We start from the raw sequence: 19394 nt of genomic DNA on the forward strand, positions 1-19394 counted from the left end.
TAGTCACAAACTGTGCATAACTAGATTCATTTTAAAGTCAGGTAACCCAGTAGTAAATTACCAAGAAAGATAATTCCTGGCAATTATTTGGCAGGAATATTTGGAATCATAGACATATACTTTTCTCCACTGACACCTTTAAAATTTGAGGAAATTGGCGGGGTGTGGTGGCACATGCTTGTAATCCCAGCACTTTGGGAGGCCGAGGCGGGCAGATCACGAGGTCAAGAGATGGATACCATCCTGGCAAACATGGTGAAAACCTATCTCTATTAAAAATACAAAAATTAGCTGGGAGTGGTGGGAGTGCCTATAGGCCCAGCTACTTGGGAGGCTGAAGCAGGAGAATCGCTTGACCTGGAAGGCGGAGGTTGCAGCAAGTGGATATTGTGCCACTGCACTCCAGCCTGGCAACAGAGCAAGACTCTGTCTCAAAAAAAAAAAATAAATAAATAAATAAATAAATTGAAGAAATTATATGACATCCAAAATAAGAAAAATACAAGTAAAGAGAAGCCATAAAAAGTACTATGGCACACAAAAAGCTTCATGATCTTGTCACTGAATGATACAACTTCATTTGTCAGAATCGGTTCCACTTTTACATTGAACTATTCCCTACTCCTTAGGCCCACAAAATCTGCTTGATTTTACCTCCAGTTTTTGACACAATTCCTTCCTGCTCTCTGATATGCACTTGTTTTTTGTTAAGCAATAGACTCGGAAATTTGAGCTTTCAATAACCGGATGTATTTTTGAAGTTTTAGAAGAAATTAGTTTTTGGGTGGAAATTTGTAGGTAAATAACCACCTTCTCAGGGCAGTTTTAAAACAGTTTTTAAATTACTTGCAAGCAATTAAAAGGTGGGTTCTTGTTAAAAGGTGGGGTCTGTTTCCTGACCACTTGAATCTGGGAGGGCTTACACATGCCCTGATCAACAGAGTATAACAGAATTGGTATTTTGTGATTTCTGCGGTTAAAACATTCCACTTCCATCTGCTTTTCTTTGGTCACTGAACTTCAGAGTCCTGACCTGTTATATAATTAGTGTGACCACCATGAGGTCACCATGGTGTGATGAAGCACAGCCCCATTGGACTTTTTAAATTCACCATTTGTGTAATGATGTGGAAAACATATTAATGTGTAAATATTTGTAAATTATCAGTAAACATATTTCCCACAAGAGTAATTAACCGTCATGAACATTAACAATGTTTTTACTGCAAGAAAAGTATATTTAAAAATCATAGGTGGTCCCTTCATCCTTATACAGAAGCCTACAGAGAGGCAGAAAAGAAAACATGAGGTTGGCTTTATGTGTAAATTTCAGATAGCTTTAACAGCTTATTCTCTGCCAATTTATACTTCTTTTGTAAAAATGGATACAGCTCATTATGGATATTTTGAACAGAGTCCATGGCTTTGAGATCAAACTAAAGTCACACTGACAAAATAAAATAAGCATGAATAGTCATAAGGCTAAAAAGGTGACTTCCTATCAATTAATTGAAGAAGAAATTCCATTTTGGTCTAATTTATATTTTGGCCACTTTTATTGGCTACTTAAGTAAAATAAAAGACTTGTTTTAATAATTGTAATGTGGAGGATGTTTTACAAACTTAATTTTTCCTTGTTCAAATAATATAAGTGAATATACAGTTTAACTCCAGTTCTAATAAATTCTCTTTGGCATGATTTTAAGTAAGTTCATCATCAATGAACTTATCATTAGGGTCTCATTGATGTCTTAGGGAAAGCACATGCCATGGAAAATCCCCTGAGATTTTACAGTGATCATCTTTGCCTTTTAATCCTAAGCATCTATTGCTTTATCTGAGCCTGAGTTCTACATCAGTGTTGATGAAATGATTGGGTTAGAGCAAATTATCTTGAAAAGTCTTTTCCAGATCAGTAAAGTTATTCCAAGAATGGCTTCGCCTTTGATCTCTTTTGATCAGAACCATTTTTTGGAGAATATCTGATTCAAATGATTGATCCGATGATCACTACACTAAAAGTACACATTTTCTCTTTGATATTGTGCCTTTCAATATTACTAATCATATCATTTAATTTTGGTCTTTTATATTCAGAACAATATCTAAAAAATATTTATGAATGAGCCATCACTAACAATTAAACCACCCAAAGGGTTCATCTTGCCCACTGTTCAGATACAGCCAATTTATAAAGACAGGGGAATTGCAATAGAGAAAGAGTTTAATACAGGTAGAGCCAGCTAAATGGGAGACCAGAGTTTTGTTTTTACACAATTAAGCCTCCCTCAAAATTTGGAGGCTACAATTTTTCAAGGGTACTTTGGTGGACACGGGGCTAGGGAATGGGAGCTGCTGATTGGTTGGGGATACAATCACAGGTCTGTGCAACATGGTCCTGATTCGCTGAGTTGGCCTGTGTGTGCAGGCCACAGAGGAGTCACTGGTCCAGGTGGAGCAATTTGGTCATCAGAAATGCAAAAGCCTGAAAAGGCATCTCAAAAGGGCAATCTTAGATTGTATAATAGTGATGTTATTTGCAGGAACAATTGGAGGAGTTACAAATTTTGTGACCTCCAGAATAATGGCTGCTAATCATTCAACTATACTCTTAGCGGATTTCAGGACCCTCTCATCTTCCTAACCTGGTGGTCTTTCATAATTAGTTTTACAAAAATGATTTAGTTTTGGAAAGGGTTATTATCATCTAAACTGTAAACTAAATATCTCCCAAAGTTAGTTTGACCTACACACAGGAATGACCAAGGGCAGTTTGGAGGTTAAGGCAAGTTGGAGTTGGTTAGAACAGATCTGTTTCACTGTTATAATTTTCTCACTGTTATAATTTTTGCAAAGGTGGTTTCAGTAAGTCTGTGCAAATCAATGTTTTATGGTCAAAATGTCCAGCCACTTTAAGCACATTGACATACATCAGTGGCTTTCAGCTTTTTCCCCATTTTAACTGAGCCAAACCAATTTTCTTATCAGCGTAGCAAAATGACCAGAGCATTTGTTATGCTATGTGGTTTAAAAAATGGTATGTTGGTTTCTTACTTAGCACAAGATATTATAAATAAGAATATTTTGTCTTGTTTTCCAAAAAAATAAATAAATCTCATTTGAGATTACAAAAATCAACGTATTTTTTAAAGCACTTAATAGATATAGTTATTATTAATGGGAATAAGGTTCACAACACCCTATGGAAAACTGATTTACTCATATTCATGTGCTTACTCAAGAGGAAAAATAAATATATAAGCATTCAGTATGTGGCATTAATCCAAGAGAAGTAAAAAAATGCAGGCAAAAATAATTTAAGAAAATGAATTAAGATTTGTAATGACCTACATATTTTCTCTAGCTATCATTTCTGAATTTAGGTTTTCAATGAATAAAATAAATTTAAATGAAAATGGGATCCATGCCTCAATGTAGCTACTACATGATTCTTTAGGTGTAAATCCTATCTCCACAATCATCTTTGAATATTTGCCTTCACCATGCTTCACATTAATTAAAGGACTCACAAGCATTTAAAAGGTTGCTATTTTAATTCCTTCAACATGACCATTTGTCAAGGCTGGATTTTTTTTATTCAAAGATTCTCAATTTTCATTAATAGGAGTGGGGGTAGTAGATTACACTTAATAATACAGGGCAGCTGCTTAGAGTTTTCTTTACGTAGAGCAGCATAAGAAGATCACCAGTAATAACATGTATATTGCAGTGGGCTGCCACTAGCCCATTCCTAAGCTGTTTGATTACAAATCAGAAAGGTCACCTATATGAGCAGAAGTAACCTGCTGGGAGCCATAGCACATAGATATGCAGCGTGTGGGCTGAATCTCAGTCCCAAATTACCCCCTTATTTGGGTCTTTTCTCTATAAATAATTTTTGTAACCTTTATCTATAAATAACTTTATAAATAAATTTTGTAAATAACTATAAATAAATTTTGTAACAAAATATTCCTTAGAATAACAATAGCTCAGCAATTTTCACAGAATAAGTTCAGAGGCTAGCTCTGCTATTTACTTACTTGGTAACTTAGCCTCCACACCTCTGAAATTCTGTAAAATATTACAAAGTTTCAGAATTGCAATAAAACTCAATGGTAACTTATAAGACAGATTCTAACTGGATATAAAGTTGTGCACATATATTAGGAGTCATTAAATGGTATAGATTATTATTGTAACAGTTGTACAACTGTAATATAAAATTGAGAAAAATTACAACTTATTCAGTAAACTAAATAAAATTAAAATGAATTAGATACATAAGACTTTCCATCTTAAAGATATTAGAAGTTAGAATACTCTAATAACAATTAGAAAGAACTAGGAATTGAGAGCTGAGGTACATGTGATATTGTTTTTCTTCATTAACAAAAAACTGTTCATTACCAATCAACTACATGTATAATTATGTTTACTTATATTTAGGAAAACAAAAGCCAAAATGTACCTAAAAACTTGTAAGGACAAACTTTTTAAAAACAATATTTTTAAAAGAGTACTGAAATCAGTTTGATTTATTTTTATGTTTCTCCTTCATATCACTAAAATAGTAGAACTGCTAACCTATTCTTACCACTTTACTCATACTCCACGCTGAAGTAAGTTTCGGTTTTTAATAATTCAGTAATTAAGACATGGAAACTTACATTTAAAATGCCAAAAAGCCAAGGAGGCTATATTCCTTATATGTGATTGCATATCATCAAAGATGACTAAGAATGCCTTCAAAATATTTTACTCATGGCAAAGAGATGAAGATGTTGGGCTGAAATCTCCAAGCACTGGTTTCCTTGGTTATCATATGAGTGTTATACCTGAAAATGCAGTTCTTCATTCATGCAAGATGCATCGTTTTACCAGGACGTCACCAGTCAAATAGAGTATATCTTACTTCCTCTTTTCTAAGATGTATATTTTTTCTCAATTTCACATTTCTGATATGGTGGTTTACTGTATAATCACTGCCTACATTTTGCTGAGGTTTTCCCCAAAAGCCATTATAAACCTACTGGTACAGTTTACATTCCAGGAAGTAACGTGCTCTTTGTCTCCTCCTCCTCCCGGAACTCTACTTTCAGTGTGAATCCTCGTGCAAAGGGGCCAGCATGGATGCATTACTCAGTGTACTCGTGTAACAAACCTGTACATGTACCCCCTGTATATAAAATAAAAGTTGAAATTATTTTTAAAAAATTAGTCAAGGGTGTTCTGGAAAACTGAGAGTAAAGGATATATAAGTAGTGATTGAAGGAAGTTGGGCTGCAAAGTTATGCTTGGACTAAAATGTGAGCCACCTTGGATATTGTAGATTTTTAAATTGATTTGGAGGATGATAGGAGGGATGTACAAATGAGATTTCACAGGCTGAGAGATCTATAGACTATTAAACAGCAAACAGATGCAAGGCATGGGAAGAGGGATGGTCAGCAGCCCACAGGATTGTGGAGTGACTGTTAACAAGTGCCTGAAAAGAGACCAGACCCACTGTGAATCTCGACTCCTCCCCTATTGGTTCTGCCGTTATGAGCAAATTTACTTCCTTTCTCTGAGCCTCAGTTAATCATCTGTAAAATGGGAAAAAATAACATCTACTTTGTAATTTTGTTAGAAAGACTTGGGTATCAAGCTCTTAGCAGATAATAAGCATGTGATGCATGGTAGCAAAACCAAAATTAAGAACAGCTCACGGAATAATTGGGTCTCACCTGCTCACCAGCTTCTCTGGAAAACCTGTTACCTACTTTGTGCTTGAGTGTATACTTTCCCCCATGTTTGGTATACTCTAAAAAAAAATAATTAAATTAGAAGATTTTGTTTCCTTTTTGCTGTGGTGAGCTCTAGGATATTGGTAAATTCCCCCTTGAAAGGCTTTCACTGTGGGCTGTCTTTGAACATCTACCCATGCAACCATGCCATGTGGCAAGGATGACTACACAGCACTTACTTCAAGGCCTTGCCTGGGGATTGAAACAAACTGTAGGGAAGGGGGAAAAAGCAATTAACTGTCCTGTTTAAGGTAAAAATAATGGAAAGAAAGCCACCTCAAGTAACTGTACGTGAGTTGACCTTTGACACACTGACCAAGGTGTCATGTCTTCAAGAGACATTGACATCTCTGTAGCTTCATGCCTTTTCCAGATTTGATGTGGCAGATACATGCATAGCAGAGTTTATCATGTGTGGTTTCCTTTAGACGCTGTGATTATGTGTTCAATAAATTGCATCAAGACTACAAATGCTTTGTTGTGAAGTCCAGCAACATTAACACATTAAGTTTCATAATGTGATTCCTAGAACAACCTCTAAAAACTCTCCAAAGAGGTACATTCAAAATCTCCATAGATGAATCAAAATAGATTCATCTCAACAGAATTATGCTAAGTAAAATCTCAATATCAGAAACAAATTATATATGATTCTATTTATATAACATTGTCAAAATGATAAAATTGTGTGGAGATAGAGAATAGAATAGTGGTTGATATGGCTTAGGGGAGAGTGCACAAGGGCATGGGTTTGGTTATAAAGAGATAGCACAAAGAAGTTTTGTGGTGATGAAACAGTTTTTTTTTTTATCTTGATTGAGTGGTCATTACAGTAATCTACACATATGAGAAAACCACAAATACATATAAACTACACAAATGAGTGTATGTTAACCTTAAAATATCAGAGTAAATTCTCTGGATTGTACAAAGACTAATTTTATAAATTTCATATGGTACTATAATTACATGTTACCATAAGAGGACATGAAGTTAAGGCTGCACCAGATCTCACTACCTTATTTGTGCATCTGCCTATGAACATACACATATTTCACAATAAAAACTGAAAAAAGCAGTGACATAGCTATAGATTCTGCTTATTTATAAGTTTAGATAGAAAGATAGACATAGATATACAAATTTAACTTAGTGACAAATTAAAATTTAAAAAGATGTTCAGTACTACCTGAAGAAAATTCTAAGAGAAATAATTAAATTACATTATATGTACAGAGGAAAAAATACAAAAAGGCCATCTAATTTCAGAAAATTGTTGTATTATTCAGTGCAATTTCAACAAAAAACCCATAGGATTTCTTGTGACATGTTCATATTGATTATGAAATGTATACAAGAATTAAGTGCCAAGAATACCCCAAATCTTACTAAGTAAGAATACATTGGTTAACTTGCTATTCTATAAAGCCATACAAATAAGTTAATGTGCTATTAAACAGAAATAAACAAATTGATCAATGGAATAAAAGAGCTATAAAACCACAAAGAAATAAAAATTATGTATGACATTTGGCATTTTAGGTCACTGGGGAAATTATAAACTTTATAGACTTACTTTAGTAGACATTCTAAAACAATTATAGAAAATAAATTATCCTTACAGAAAATAAATTACATTGACTATCCTTAGAGAATATAAGTTAAATTGGTTTTCCAGCCTCAGAGTGTGCACAATTGATTTTCAAAGCATGGCGCCTAGTCCAGAGCATCAATATAAACTGAGAACATGTTTGAATCTATAATCTTGGGCCCAACCACAGAATGGCTGAATCACAAACTCTGTTAGGTGGGACAACAATTCATGTTATAATGAACCATCTAAGTGATACAGATGCACAATGGGATGTAAGAACAACCTTAGTAACCACAAATCCATCACTTGAGAATCAAACAATTAGAAGTAAAAAACAGATCTCTAAATATTTTCAAAGAGTGTATTAGGTATTTTTCTGATGTTGGGATCTGAGTAAATTTATTAAACAAGAATTTCTTAAATAAACACAAATTCTGTTAACCATAAAATAAAAGAATAACAAAGTTTACCACATGGAAACTAAGAATTCATTTTATGAAAAGAAAGTAAAACAAGACTAAACTTTAAAAAGATTTTCCATAATTGCCAAAAAGTTAATGTTTACAGTATATAAGGAACTTCTATAAACCAATATGAAAAACACAAGCAAGGCAAGAGAAAAATGGGGAAAAGATATAGCAGCAAAAAAAAGAAAACGCATGTTGAGTAAACATATGAACAGATGCTCAACCTCATTAGTAATCAGGAAAATGTAAATTAAGCCACAATGTGATACTATTTCACACTTACTTGATTGGAAACATCTAGGAAATATAATAATACCAATTTATTACTTTGAATTTAAACAGACTCATATATACTCTTTGTAGAAGTGCTAAGTAAAATCTCTTTTGAAAACAATTTTAACATTGGTATCCCCTTGTTCTATCAACAAGCAATTAATTCCATATGAAATTTAAAGTAGTTTTTTCTAATTCTGTGAAGAATGTCAGTGGTAGTTTGAAGGGAATAGCATTGAATCTATAAATGACTTTGGGCAGTATGGCCATTTTCACGATATTGATTATTACTATCCATAAGGACAGAAAGTTTTTCCATTTGTTTGTGTCCTCTCTTATTTCGTTGAGCAGTGGTTTGTAGTTCTCCTTGAAGAGGTCCTTCACATCCCTTGTAAGCTGTACTCCTAGGTATTTTATTCTGTTCATAGCGATTGTGAATGAAAGTTCATTCATGATTTGGCTCTCTGCTTGTCTGTTGTTGGTGTAAAAGAATGCTTGTGATTTTTGCACATTGATTTTGTATCCTGAGACTTTCTGAAGTTGCTTATCAGTTTAAGGAGGTTTTAGGCTGAGATGATAGGGTATTCTAAAGATAAAATCACGTTGTCTGCAAACAGAGACGATTTGACTTACTCTCTTCCCATCTGAATACACTTTCTTTCTTTCTCTTGCCTTATTGCCCTGGCCAGAACTTATAACACTATGTTGAATAGGAGTAGTGAGAGAGGGCATCCTTGTCTTGTACTGGTTTTCAAAGGGAATGCTACCAGCTTTTTCCCATTCAATATGAAATTGCCTGTGGGTTTGTCATAAATGTCTCTTATTATTTTGAGATATGCTTCATCAATACCTAGTTTATTGAGAGTTTTTAACATGAAGCGATGTTGAATTTTATCAAAGGCCTTTTCTGCATTTATTGAGATAATCATATGGTTTTTGTCTTTGGTTCTGTTTATGTGATAGATTGTGTTTATTGATTTGTGTATGTTGAACCAGCCTTGCATCCCAGGGATGAAGCTTACTTGATTGTCATGGGTGAGTTTTTTGATGTGCTGCTGGGTTCGGTTTGTCAGCATTTTATTGAAAATGTTTGCATCGATGTTAATCAGGAATATTGGCCTGAAGTTTTATTTTTGTGTGTGTGTTATCTGCCAGGTTTTGGTAACAGGATGATGCTGGCTTCATAAAATGAGTTAGGGAGGAGTCTGTCCTTTTCAATTGTTTGGAATAGTTTCAGAAGGAATGGTACCAGCTCTTCTTTGTACCTCTGGTAGAATTTGGTTGTGAATTTGTCTGGCCCGGGCTTTTTTTGGTTGGTAGGCTATTAATTACTGCCTCAATTTCAGATCTTGTTATTGGTCTATTCAGGGATTCGACTTCTTCCTGGTTTAGTCTGGGAAGGGTGTAGGTGTCCAGGAATTTTTCCACTTCTTTCAGATTTTCTAGTTTACTTGCATAGAGGTGTTTATAATATTATCTATATAGTAGTAGTTTGTATTTCTATGGGGTCAGTGGTGATATCCCCTTTATCATTTTTTATTGTGTCTACTTGAATCTTCTCTCTTTTCTTCTTTATTAGTCTAGCTAGTGGTCTATCTACTTTGTTAATTTTTTCAAAAAAACAAATCCTGGATTCATTGAATTTTTGGAGGGTTTTTCATGTCTCTATCTCCTTCAACTTTGCTCTGATCTTAGTTATTTCTTGCCTTCTGCTAGCTTTTGGATTAGTTTTCTCTTGCTTCTCTACCTCTTTTAATTGTGATGTTAGGGTGTCGATCTGAGATCTTTCTGGCTTTCTGATGTGGACATGTAGTGCTACAAATTTTCAACTAATATGGTTTTAACTGTGTCCCGGGAGATTCTGGCATGTTGTCTCTTTGTTCTCATTAGTTTCAAATAACTTTTTGATATCTGCCTTAATTTCATTATTTACGCAGTAGTCATTCAGGAGCAGGTTGTTCAATTTCCATCTAATTGTGTGGTTTTGAGTGAGCATCTTAATCCTGAGTTCTAATTAGATTGCATTGTGGTCTGAGAGACTGTTATGATTTCCGTTCTTTTGCATTTCCTAAGGAGTGTTTTATTTCCAATTATGTGGCTGATTTTAAATTAATTGCCATGTGGCACAGAGAAGAACGTATATTCTGTTGATTTGGGGTGGAGAGTTCTGTAGATTTTGGGGTGGAGTGTTCTGTAGATGTCTATATAGCTGAGTTCAAGTCCTGAATATCCTTGTTAATTTTCTGACTCGTTGATCTGTCTAACATTGACAGTGGGGTGTTAAAGTCTCCCACTATTATTGTGGGAGTTTAAGTCTCTTTGTATGTCCCTAAGAACTTGTTTCATGAATCTGGGTGCTCCTGTATTGGGTGCATATATATTTAAAATAGTTAGCTCTTCTTGTTGAATTGTTCCCTTTACCATAATGCCCTTCTTTGTCTTTTTTGATCTTTGTTGGTTTAAAGTCTGTTTTGACAGCAACTAGAATTGCAACCCCCGCTGTTTTTGTTTGTTTGTTTGTTTGTGTTGCTTGGTAAATTTTCCTCTATCCCTTTATTCTGAGCCTATGTGTGTCTTTGCACATGAAATGGGTCTCCTGAATACAACACACCAATGGCCTTGACTCTATCCAATTTGACAGTCTGTGTGTTTTAATAGGGGCATTTAGCCCATTTGAATTTAAGGTTAGTATTGTTATGTGTGAATTTGATCCTGTCATCATTATGCTATCTAGTTATTTTGCACACTAGTTGATGCAGTTTCTTCATAATGTCATTGGTCTTTATATTTTGGTGTGTTTTTGCAGTGGCTGGTACTGGTTTTTCCTTTCCATATTTAGGACTTCTTTCAGGAGCTCTTCCAAGGCAGGCCTTGTGGTAATGAAATCCCTCAGCTTTTTCTTGTCTGAAAAGGATTTTCTTTCTCCCTTGCTTATGAAGCTTAGTTTGGCTGGATATGCAATTATGGGTTGAAAATTCTTTTCTTTAAGAATGTTCAATATTGGCCCCCAATCTCTTCTGGCTTGTAGAGTTCCTGCTGAGAGGTCCAATGTTAGTCTGATGGGCTTTTCTTTGTAGATGACCTGGCTTTTCTCTCTGGCTGCCCTTAACATTTTTTCCTTCATTTCAACCTTGGAGAATCTGGTGATAACGTGTCTTGGGGTTGATCTTCTCATGGAGTATCTTAGCGGTGTTCTCTGTATTTCCTGAATTTGCATGTTGGCCTGCCTTGCTAGGTTGGGGAAGTTTTCCTGGATAATATCCTGAAGTGTGTTTTCCAGCTTGTTTCAATTCTCCCCGTCTCCTTCAGGTACTCCAATCAATCGTAGGTTCAGTCTTTTTATGAAGTCCCATATTTCTTGGAGGCTTTGTTAATTCATTTTTATTCTTTTTCTCTAATCTTGTCTGCATGTCTTATATCAGCAAAGTGTTCTTCAAACTCTTACATCCTTTCTTCCGCTTGGTCAATTTGGCTATTGATATTTGTATATGCTTCATGAAGTTCTCATGCTGTGTGTTTCATCACCATCAGGTCATTTATGTTCCTCTCTAAACTAGTTATTCTAGTTAGCAGCTCCTCTAACCTTTTGTCAAAGTTCTTAGCTTCCTTGCATTGGGTTAGCACATGCTCCTTTAGCTCAGGGTAGTTTTTTATTACCCATCTTGTGAAACCTACTTCTGTCCATTCGTCTATCTCATCCTCCATCCAATTCTGTGACCTTGCTGGAGAGACACTGTGATCATTTGGAGGAGAAGAGGCACTCTTGCCTTTTGGGTTTTCAGCTGTTTTTTGTTGATTCTTTCTCATCTTCGTGAGTTTGTCTAGTTTTGATCTTTGTGGCTGCCAACCCTTTGATGGGGTTTTTTGGGGGGGGGCTTTTATCTTGTTGTCAATGCTGTTATTGTTGCTTTCTGTTTGTTGTTTTTCTTTCAATGGTCATGTCTCTCTTCTGCAGGGCCGCTGGGGTTTGCTGGGGGTTCACTTCAGGTTCTATTCACTTGGTTCACTCCCACTCCTGGAGATGTCACTCAAGGAGGCTGGAGAACAGCAAAGATGAATGCCTGCTCCTTCTTCTGGGATCTCTGACCTTGAGGGGCAGGCACCAACCTGATGCCAGTAGGATCGCTCCTGTATAGGATGTCTGACAACCCCTGTCAGAGGGTCTTACCCAGTTGGGTGAAACGGGAAACAGGACATGTTTAACAAAGTACCTTGACTGTCCCTTGGTGGAGGGGGTGTGCTTTGCTGGGGGGAAACCCACTCAACTAGGCTGCCCATATTCCTCAGAACTACCAGGAGGAAAGGATAAGTCTCCTGGTCCACAGAGTCTGTGGCCACCCATCCCCCTAGGGGATCAGGCCCAGAGAGATTCAGGTTCTGTCCCTGAGCCTCTGGCTGGAGTTACGGGAGTTCTTGCATGGAAGCCCCGCCCAGTGAGGAATAATGAGTCGGGGTCAGGCCTGAAGAGGCACTCTGGCTGCAGTCTTCCACAGCTGGTGTGTTGGGCTGTGGGGGACACATCTTGGGACCAAGCCGTCCAGCCTCCCTGGCTCCAGCAGGGGAAAAGCACAGCCTGGAGCTATAGAGATGAATGCCACCCTTCTCCTGCCCAGGGACCTTAGTGTGTTAGGAAGTTGTGAGTCCCAGTGCTGAATGCTGCCCCTTCCCCAAGAAGCTCAGATGGCTGAGACAGCAGGCAGCTGCAGCTGTGGTGCTGGTCGCCCCTCCCCCTGGGAGATTGGTAGGCTTAAGCCTATTCCAGCTGAGAGGCTGTTGATAATCTGCATGGCTCCGTGGCATGGGTTTGTGAGTGGGATCTTCCACTTCATGTGTTGCACATTTCTGTGGTAAAAGCACGGTTTCCCAGCCTGGGTAGCATGCTCACTCACCACCTCCCTTGGCTGGGTGGTGGAGGCTCCCCTGCTCGTGTGGCTCTCAGGTGGGCTGCTACACCACACTGCACCTCCTTTCTCTCTGTGGAGCATGCCAGCTTCCTAGTCAGTTCTGATGAGAGAAGCTGGATACCTTGGTTGCTGGTGAAAGATTCACATACTTGTTTTGGCTCTTTTCGATGGGAGCCTCTGATTGCCGCTATTTCTAGTTGGCCATCTTGGTCCCCTGCCCCTGCCATATGACACACTTAACTGTAATGCCGTTAGCACACGGAGCCTTAGATAAGCTTGGTTATCAAGAACCCAGACATTTCATGGATAAGGTTCAGTTTTAATCTACTAGGGAAGCCACTATTTAGTTGCTCAGAAGTGAGCTCAGCAGAAGTGTTTGGTGCATGAAATTGGAATCTAGAATCAAAGAGAATAAGAGGGATGATAGATATTTGTTATAGCCTTGGTAGCAACTAAAGCAGCAGAGACTCCAGATCCTCACATTAATGTTCCTTTTACTACATTTCACAGAAATTGTGAACAGTAATGTTATTAATAAACAAGTTAAACTAAGCATTGTAGGGGAGGAAATGTAAGGATGTCTTGGACCCCAGTCAGAGCCGCTTCACTGAGCTGTCGTGCCCATTCTCTGCTTGCTTTGATTGCTGGCTGCTAGTGGCACACAGTTGTCTCTATTAGGTTATTGCCCTCACTTAAATAAGAGGTGTTTCATCTGGGAAGTTTTGGCTCCCAGGGCAGCCAGTCATCCAGTGTCCCTCTGACTGGCACAGAGGTACAAAGGCTGGTGGTGTGCCCTCAAAGAAGCTCCAACATTATGGTGCCACTCATGCTCCAATTGCCCTATGAAACTGGGCCACTTCTTGTCTCTAATTAAGATCTCATTCTTTCTTCATTGTCTAGCCAGTCAATTTCTCTATTCCGCTTCTAAGAATGCTACCTTAAGAATTGCCTTTACAAGAATTCCTCTCTTAGGCTTTCCTTGCAAGGTACCTAACCTGAGTCAATATTCCTATTCCTAAATCATCTCAGATCCCCTGAGATGCTGGATATCCGAAATTGTCCAAGATCATATAAAGATATGAAAGAAAACTTATCTCAATATTCCAGTATTGGGGCAAAACATTTTGCCCTCAAAGTTTAGAAATGTTGCCCAACTGTTTTTTGAAATTTATTTCTATAACAAAGACGTCTTACATTAATCTGACTTTTATTTCTCTATGCTTTTCTTTGATTCAAATTTGCCAGTGTCATCAAGGTATAGAAATTGCTGTTGTTTTTGTTTTGCACTGCTTTGCTTTTATTTTTCTTTGAATATGCATCTACCTTTCTACGTGCATTCATGAGAGTTTTTGCCTTTTTCCTAGTTCATAAGTATTTTTATTTTAGTTAGTGGAGAATTGGTGTTTATTTTCTAAAATCAACCAAGATTATCTATTAATCCTATAATAAGTTATCATTAACTTTCCATTATATCATTACTTATTTCATTTGTGTTTATATGTTCCCTATCTTCTATAGCAAAAATAGTTCAAAGATTTTTAAGTTATTACTCCTTCAATTTTATATAGCCTCTATCTTAATCTAAAATAATGTTTAATACATTTTAATTTTCATGACAGTAATTCTGTGTTCTACCTATCTTACATAATTCATAGGTATTATATTTTTTAAAATGTAATTATGACTGGGTGTGGTGGCTTACGCCTGTAATCCCAGCACTTTGGGAGGCCGAGGCAGGTGGATCACGAGGTCAGGAGATGGAGACCATTCTGGCTAACACGGTGAAACCCCGCCTCTACTAAAAATACAAAAATTAGACATGCATGGTGGTGCACGCCTGTAATCCCAGCCACTTGGGAGTCTGAGGCAGGAGAATTGCTTGAACCAGGGAGGCAGAGGTTGCAGTTGCAGTGAGTCGAGATTGTGCCACTGAACTCCAGCCTGGGCAACAGAGAAAGACTTCATCTCAAAAAAAAAAAAAAAAGTAGTGATTATAATTTTCTGATGTTATTTTATAAGGAGAGGTAAAAATAGTGTGTTTTTCTTTACATCCTGGGTCTGTGCCAATCTAAGAAAAAAGTAGATACGTTCAGATGGAACTACAATATAAGCATTGACACTGAAAGTGGATTTGGTAAAGAACATTTAAAATCTGTGGCCAAAGTCCTTGCAAACTCTCCATCTCCAGCAATGCTTACAATACCAGTCTCAATACCAGGATATCACACCTAGGAAAGTGCACATTTTCAAGCTTCATGTATTTAGCTAGACTTGTTGTTAAACAGGGTAGAACAATAAAACAAGAACATGAATGATTCAGTTAACGCTTGCAACTTATAGTAAATTACTTCTACCTAATCGAGAAGAGTTAAGAAATGGATGCCATTCACCAACATGATGAACAGGCACAGCAAAAAGGTGGCAATGTTCCTCAAGATGTAATCCCTCCACAGGGAAAGTGGAGTTTATGTAAATGAAAATCTCTTGCAGCAATCTTCCTTTATTCATTAATATTGACAAGAAATTTCTAAAACTGTCTCTGAAATATTGTGTATATCATGTCTAGACATAATAATTTTAACTTTTCCTTTTTTATAGTTTTTTTCCACTGAGAAGGCCCATGTTTGAAAATTTTCATATATTTATCTCTGAAAGAAGTTAATTTTACAAGATTCATCATCTAGAAATATATATTCTCTTGTTACAATTTCTGCTTACTTCTCTGGTTTATTATGAAACTTGAAAACATAAGTGCATAAACAATCTCCAATGTGCACCACCTGTGGAATTATTCCCTTCCCTAAAATACTTCTTTTTCCCCAAAGTCAGTTTCACTGGTCAAGACTATGCATTTCTACTCTCATTCTTCACAATATACCTCTTTGCACTGTATTTTCAGGAAATTGTGCTCTTTGGATTAATGTAGAAAGAAAACATGCTAATAACATTAGGAATGCCTCAAAAAGTATAACTATACTCTCCCCATTTTTCTGAAAACATTTGTTTCTTACTCTTTGTAGTGGGTGTTATTTTAAGTTGTAAAACATATGGAAATTAGCCAGGCATGGCGATGTGCACCTGTAGTCCCAGTCACTTGGGAGGCTGAGGCAGGAGAATCGCTTGAACCCAGGAGGTGGAGGTTGCAGTGAGCCAAGTTTGTGCCACTGCACTCCAGCCTTAGAGATTGAGTGAAATCTTGTCTCAAAAAAGAAAAAAATAAAAGAAATAAAAGAAAAAAGATATTGAAGTAATTGCAAGAATTTCACTTAAAAGTAAGCCCTTTTTATAAGAACTTTTTAAAGGCATTTATACACATTTTAGGTTTGTATTTGTTTGTTTGTTTGTTTGGACAGAGTCTTGCTCTGTCACCACAGCTGGAGTGCAATGGCGTGATGTTGGCTCACTGCAATCTCCACCTCCCGGGTTCAAGCAATTCTCCTGCCTCAGCCTCCCGACTAGCTGAGATTACAGGTGCCCGCCACCATGCCCGGCTAATTTTTTGTATTTTTAGTAGAGACGGGGTTTCACCATTTTGGCCAGGCTGGTCTTGAACTACTGACCTCAGGTGATCCACCTGCCTCGGCCTCTCAAAGTGCTGGGATTACAGGCGTGAGCCACTGTGCCTGGCCATTTTAGGTTGATTTTTATATTTCTGTTTAAATTATTATGTTTTTTAAATTGGAAAAAAAATGAATCTTAAATACATACATACATATATATATATATATATTTTTTTTTTTTAAAGACTCTTCTATGACCACAGAGTCAAGTATAAATCCAGGACTCTGATTGAGGCAATCAAATCCACAGATCTGATTTTAGAAAGCTATGTTTTAAAATGCCATGTTGTCATCTCTCTTTTCTCTTGTGCTCTCTCATTCTGTCTCTCTCTTTCTCCCATCCACAATTCTATCTTTTGCCTTCCCACTTACCAACCTATCTATATATTTCGTATCTATCCTTCTATCCATCCAATCAACTGATATATCTATCTTTTATATATGTGTACTTTTTTTCTTGTTTCATACTCAACTGATGAAATTGATGGAATAGTTGAGCAATGTAAGTGAAATAATATATTGTCACACACATTTATTGAATGGATATTGTGTTGTGAGAATTATAAGGGTATCAAAAAAGCCATACACAAAATCTAGAACAGTTGCCTGTGTTTAGAAAAAAAATACATTTCCTAGTAAGTGATCATTTTAAAGAAACGTTTCACACACACCCAAGAGCAAACTTTCACCCATGCAATGTTTGCTGTATAAGCATATAAAAGTTACCTGTATAACAAATGTTTCCATCAAAGGAGAAGCTCTACCAGCACACTTGAAATATGATCTATAAAAGTGAAATATACAATACATAGTTATTATATTAGCACTCATAGGAATTAGCACTTATAGGAAGCAAATATACTACAAATTAGAGTAAATGAAATAAATGTCATCCAGCAAGTAACATCATAAACACTGGTCTGAATGATTTCATATGTCTGGTTAAAGTTTGTTTTCTTTGTGTTGGTTTTAACTATAAATCCCAAAATAAATTTGCCTATTACTCACTGATTTTATGGAAATTGTAAGTTGCTTATTTAAGGACATTAAAAATACTCTTTAGCAGTACCCCCCTTTATTTTTTACTGTGAAGCTGTGTTAATTTCAGAGAAGTTAACATTACCAAAAAAACAACTATTTTAATTAATATAAACATTATTATAGATATGCTATATATCTATATATGTGGTTGCATAATGTGTGTTTTATGTACATACAGATGTGTATATATTTATATACTATATATATATATATATAAAATGCTAACTCTAGCCTTATAAACCCTTTTAAATTTCAAATAAAAATCATAAGGTATGCCTGATGTCACTTTACATTTTAATTCAGAAAAAAATTATAAAATGAAAAGAAATCCCTAAAAGAGAAGGAATATCAAGAAGGACTCAATTGCTAAAGTAGGTCAAGGACAATTAAATTGCTTTCTTAATATGTCTGCTTATAATTTGATTATTTCTGTAAATTATATTTTTACAAAGTTCCTTTGAAAATATTGTTCTTTTGTTTTGATAAGCTTTTAAGACACATTCACACATTTTATTTCCTGTCAGCCATTTTCTTTCATCATAAAAGTCATTTTGTTAGGGTCTTGATTTAATTATAGACTCTATTCATTAGGGCAACTGACCAACTCAAGAATCCCTACTGCTTTATTCAATAGAAGTAGTTCCTGGAGTTTTGTGTTTAATGCACTCCATTTTCCCTAGTTCATAAAGTGTGAAAACTTATATTTTATTCAGTATTTTTCTTGGCTCTCTGATTGAATCAGTTTCCAAGGAATGAGACATATGTGTGAGTTATATCTCCTTTACAAATATTCTTTCTTGCAAGGAATTACTTTTTCATTGCCAATATGGGGATTGGCTAGGCTAAGTACTCATATATGCCTATTGTGAAAACATGTTTTATTGAATGGCCTTAAATCTTTATGTTTCTTGTTATAAAAATCCGTAAGAAAAGAATATTGCAAAAGATTTAAAAATTTTTTTAAATGTGTATATTTGTAAGGTTAATTTACATATTAATTGTTGTCAGTAAAATTAATTGTTGTCAGTAAAATAATCTTGACACCTAAAGGACTTTTTAATAAACACATTGACAGAGTTGTTTCTTCTGCTATGCAGCCTGTCTTCTGCACCATATTGATTTTAAGGTCCTTACGTGTGGAATTTGTTTTGGACAATATTGGATAGAAGGCCCTCGAAGAGTATAATAGGGGTATGTGGTGGGGGAAAATTAGTATTTCACTTTTCTTAATAGCCATTGTTGAACCATGCACCCAAGCACTACAACAATGGTTCTGTATCCACAGCCCACAATGGGATTCAACCTATGAACTTTGTAGGGGAACAAAAAAGTTAAATCTTTATGTTCACTAATATATCTAACTGAAATTTAGTACATCTTAGATATATGCAAACAATACAAAGTAGTATTAGAGTGCCTGGCCTATCTTGTTGCCAATTAAAATTTTGTATATTTTCATATCACATTACCTTGCTGCAGATATACTGAAATATGTTGACTGGAGAATAATTCTCTGGGTGACCTTAGACCAACCCGTTTCTCCCCATTTTCTCACTTAGAGTTCTCAAGAATGATTGCAGAATGTGTTGTGAATGCAATGTCCTGAGATAAGAAAGAACTATCTGGAACAGCCTGGTCTCTTTCCCAGTCCTTCCCTAGAAACAGAATGTCCTTCAATGCTTTAACCCAGTGATCCATGGAACTCTGTGGTTATAAAACCCATTATGTGCTGGTTTCCAGGGCCTCTTAGCCATGGTGCAATTAAG

The 19394-nt window shown here is 36.2% G+C and overlaps 1 long non-coding RNA gene across 1 annotated transcript in view; it reads right to left on the reverse strand.

Annotated features, from left to right (window-relative positions):
• LINC01687 (long intergenic non-protein coding RNA 1687) overlaps positions 1-19244 on the reverse strand; it is an 89302-nt gene extending 70058 nt beyond the window's left edge. The window contains exons 1-2 of the long non-coding RNA NR_109959.1: positions 19098-19244; positions 17314-17371 (exon numbers count right to left, since the gene is read on the reverse strand). This is a non-coding gene — a long non-coding RNA (long intergenic non-protein coding RNA 1687). The remainder of the gene's footprint in view (positions 1-17313; positions 17372-19097) is intronic.
• Between the last annotated feature and the right edge of the window lie 150 nt (positions 19245-19394).

This window comes from Homo sapiens, chromosome 21, assembly GCF_000001405.40.
Source record: "Homo sapiens chromosome 21, GRCh38.p14 Primary Assembly".
NCBI classification, from domain to species: domain Eukaryota; kingdom Metazoa; phylum Chordata; class Mammalia; order Primates; family Hominidae; genus Homo; species Homo sapiens.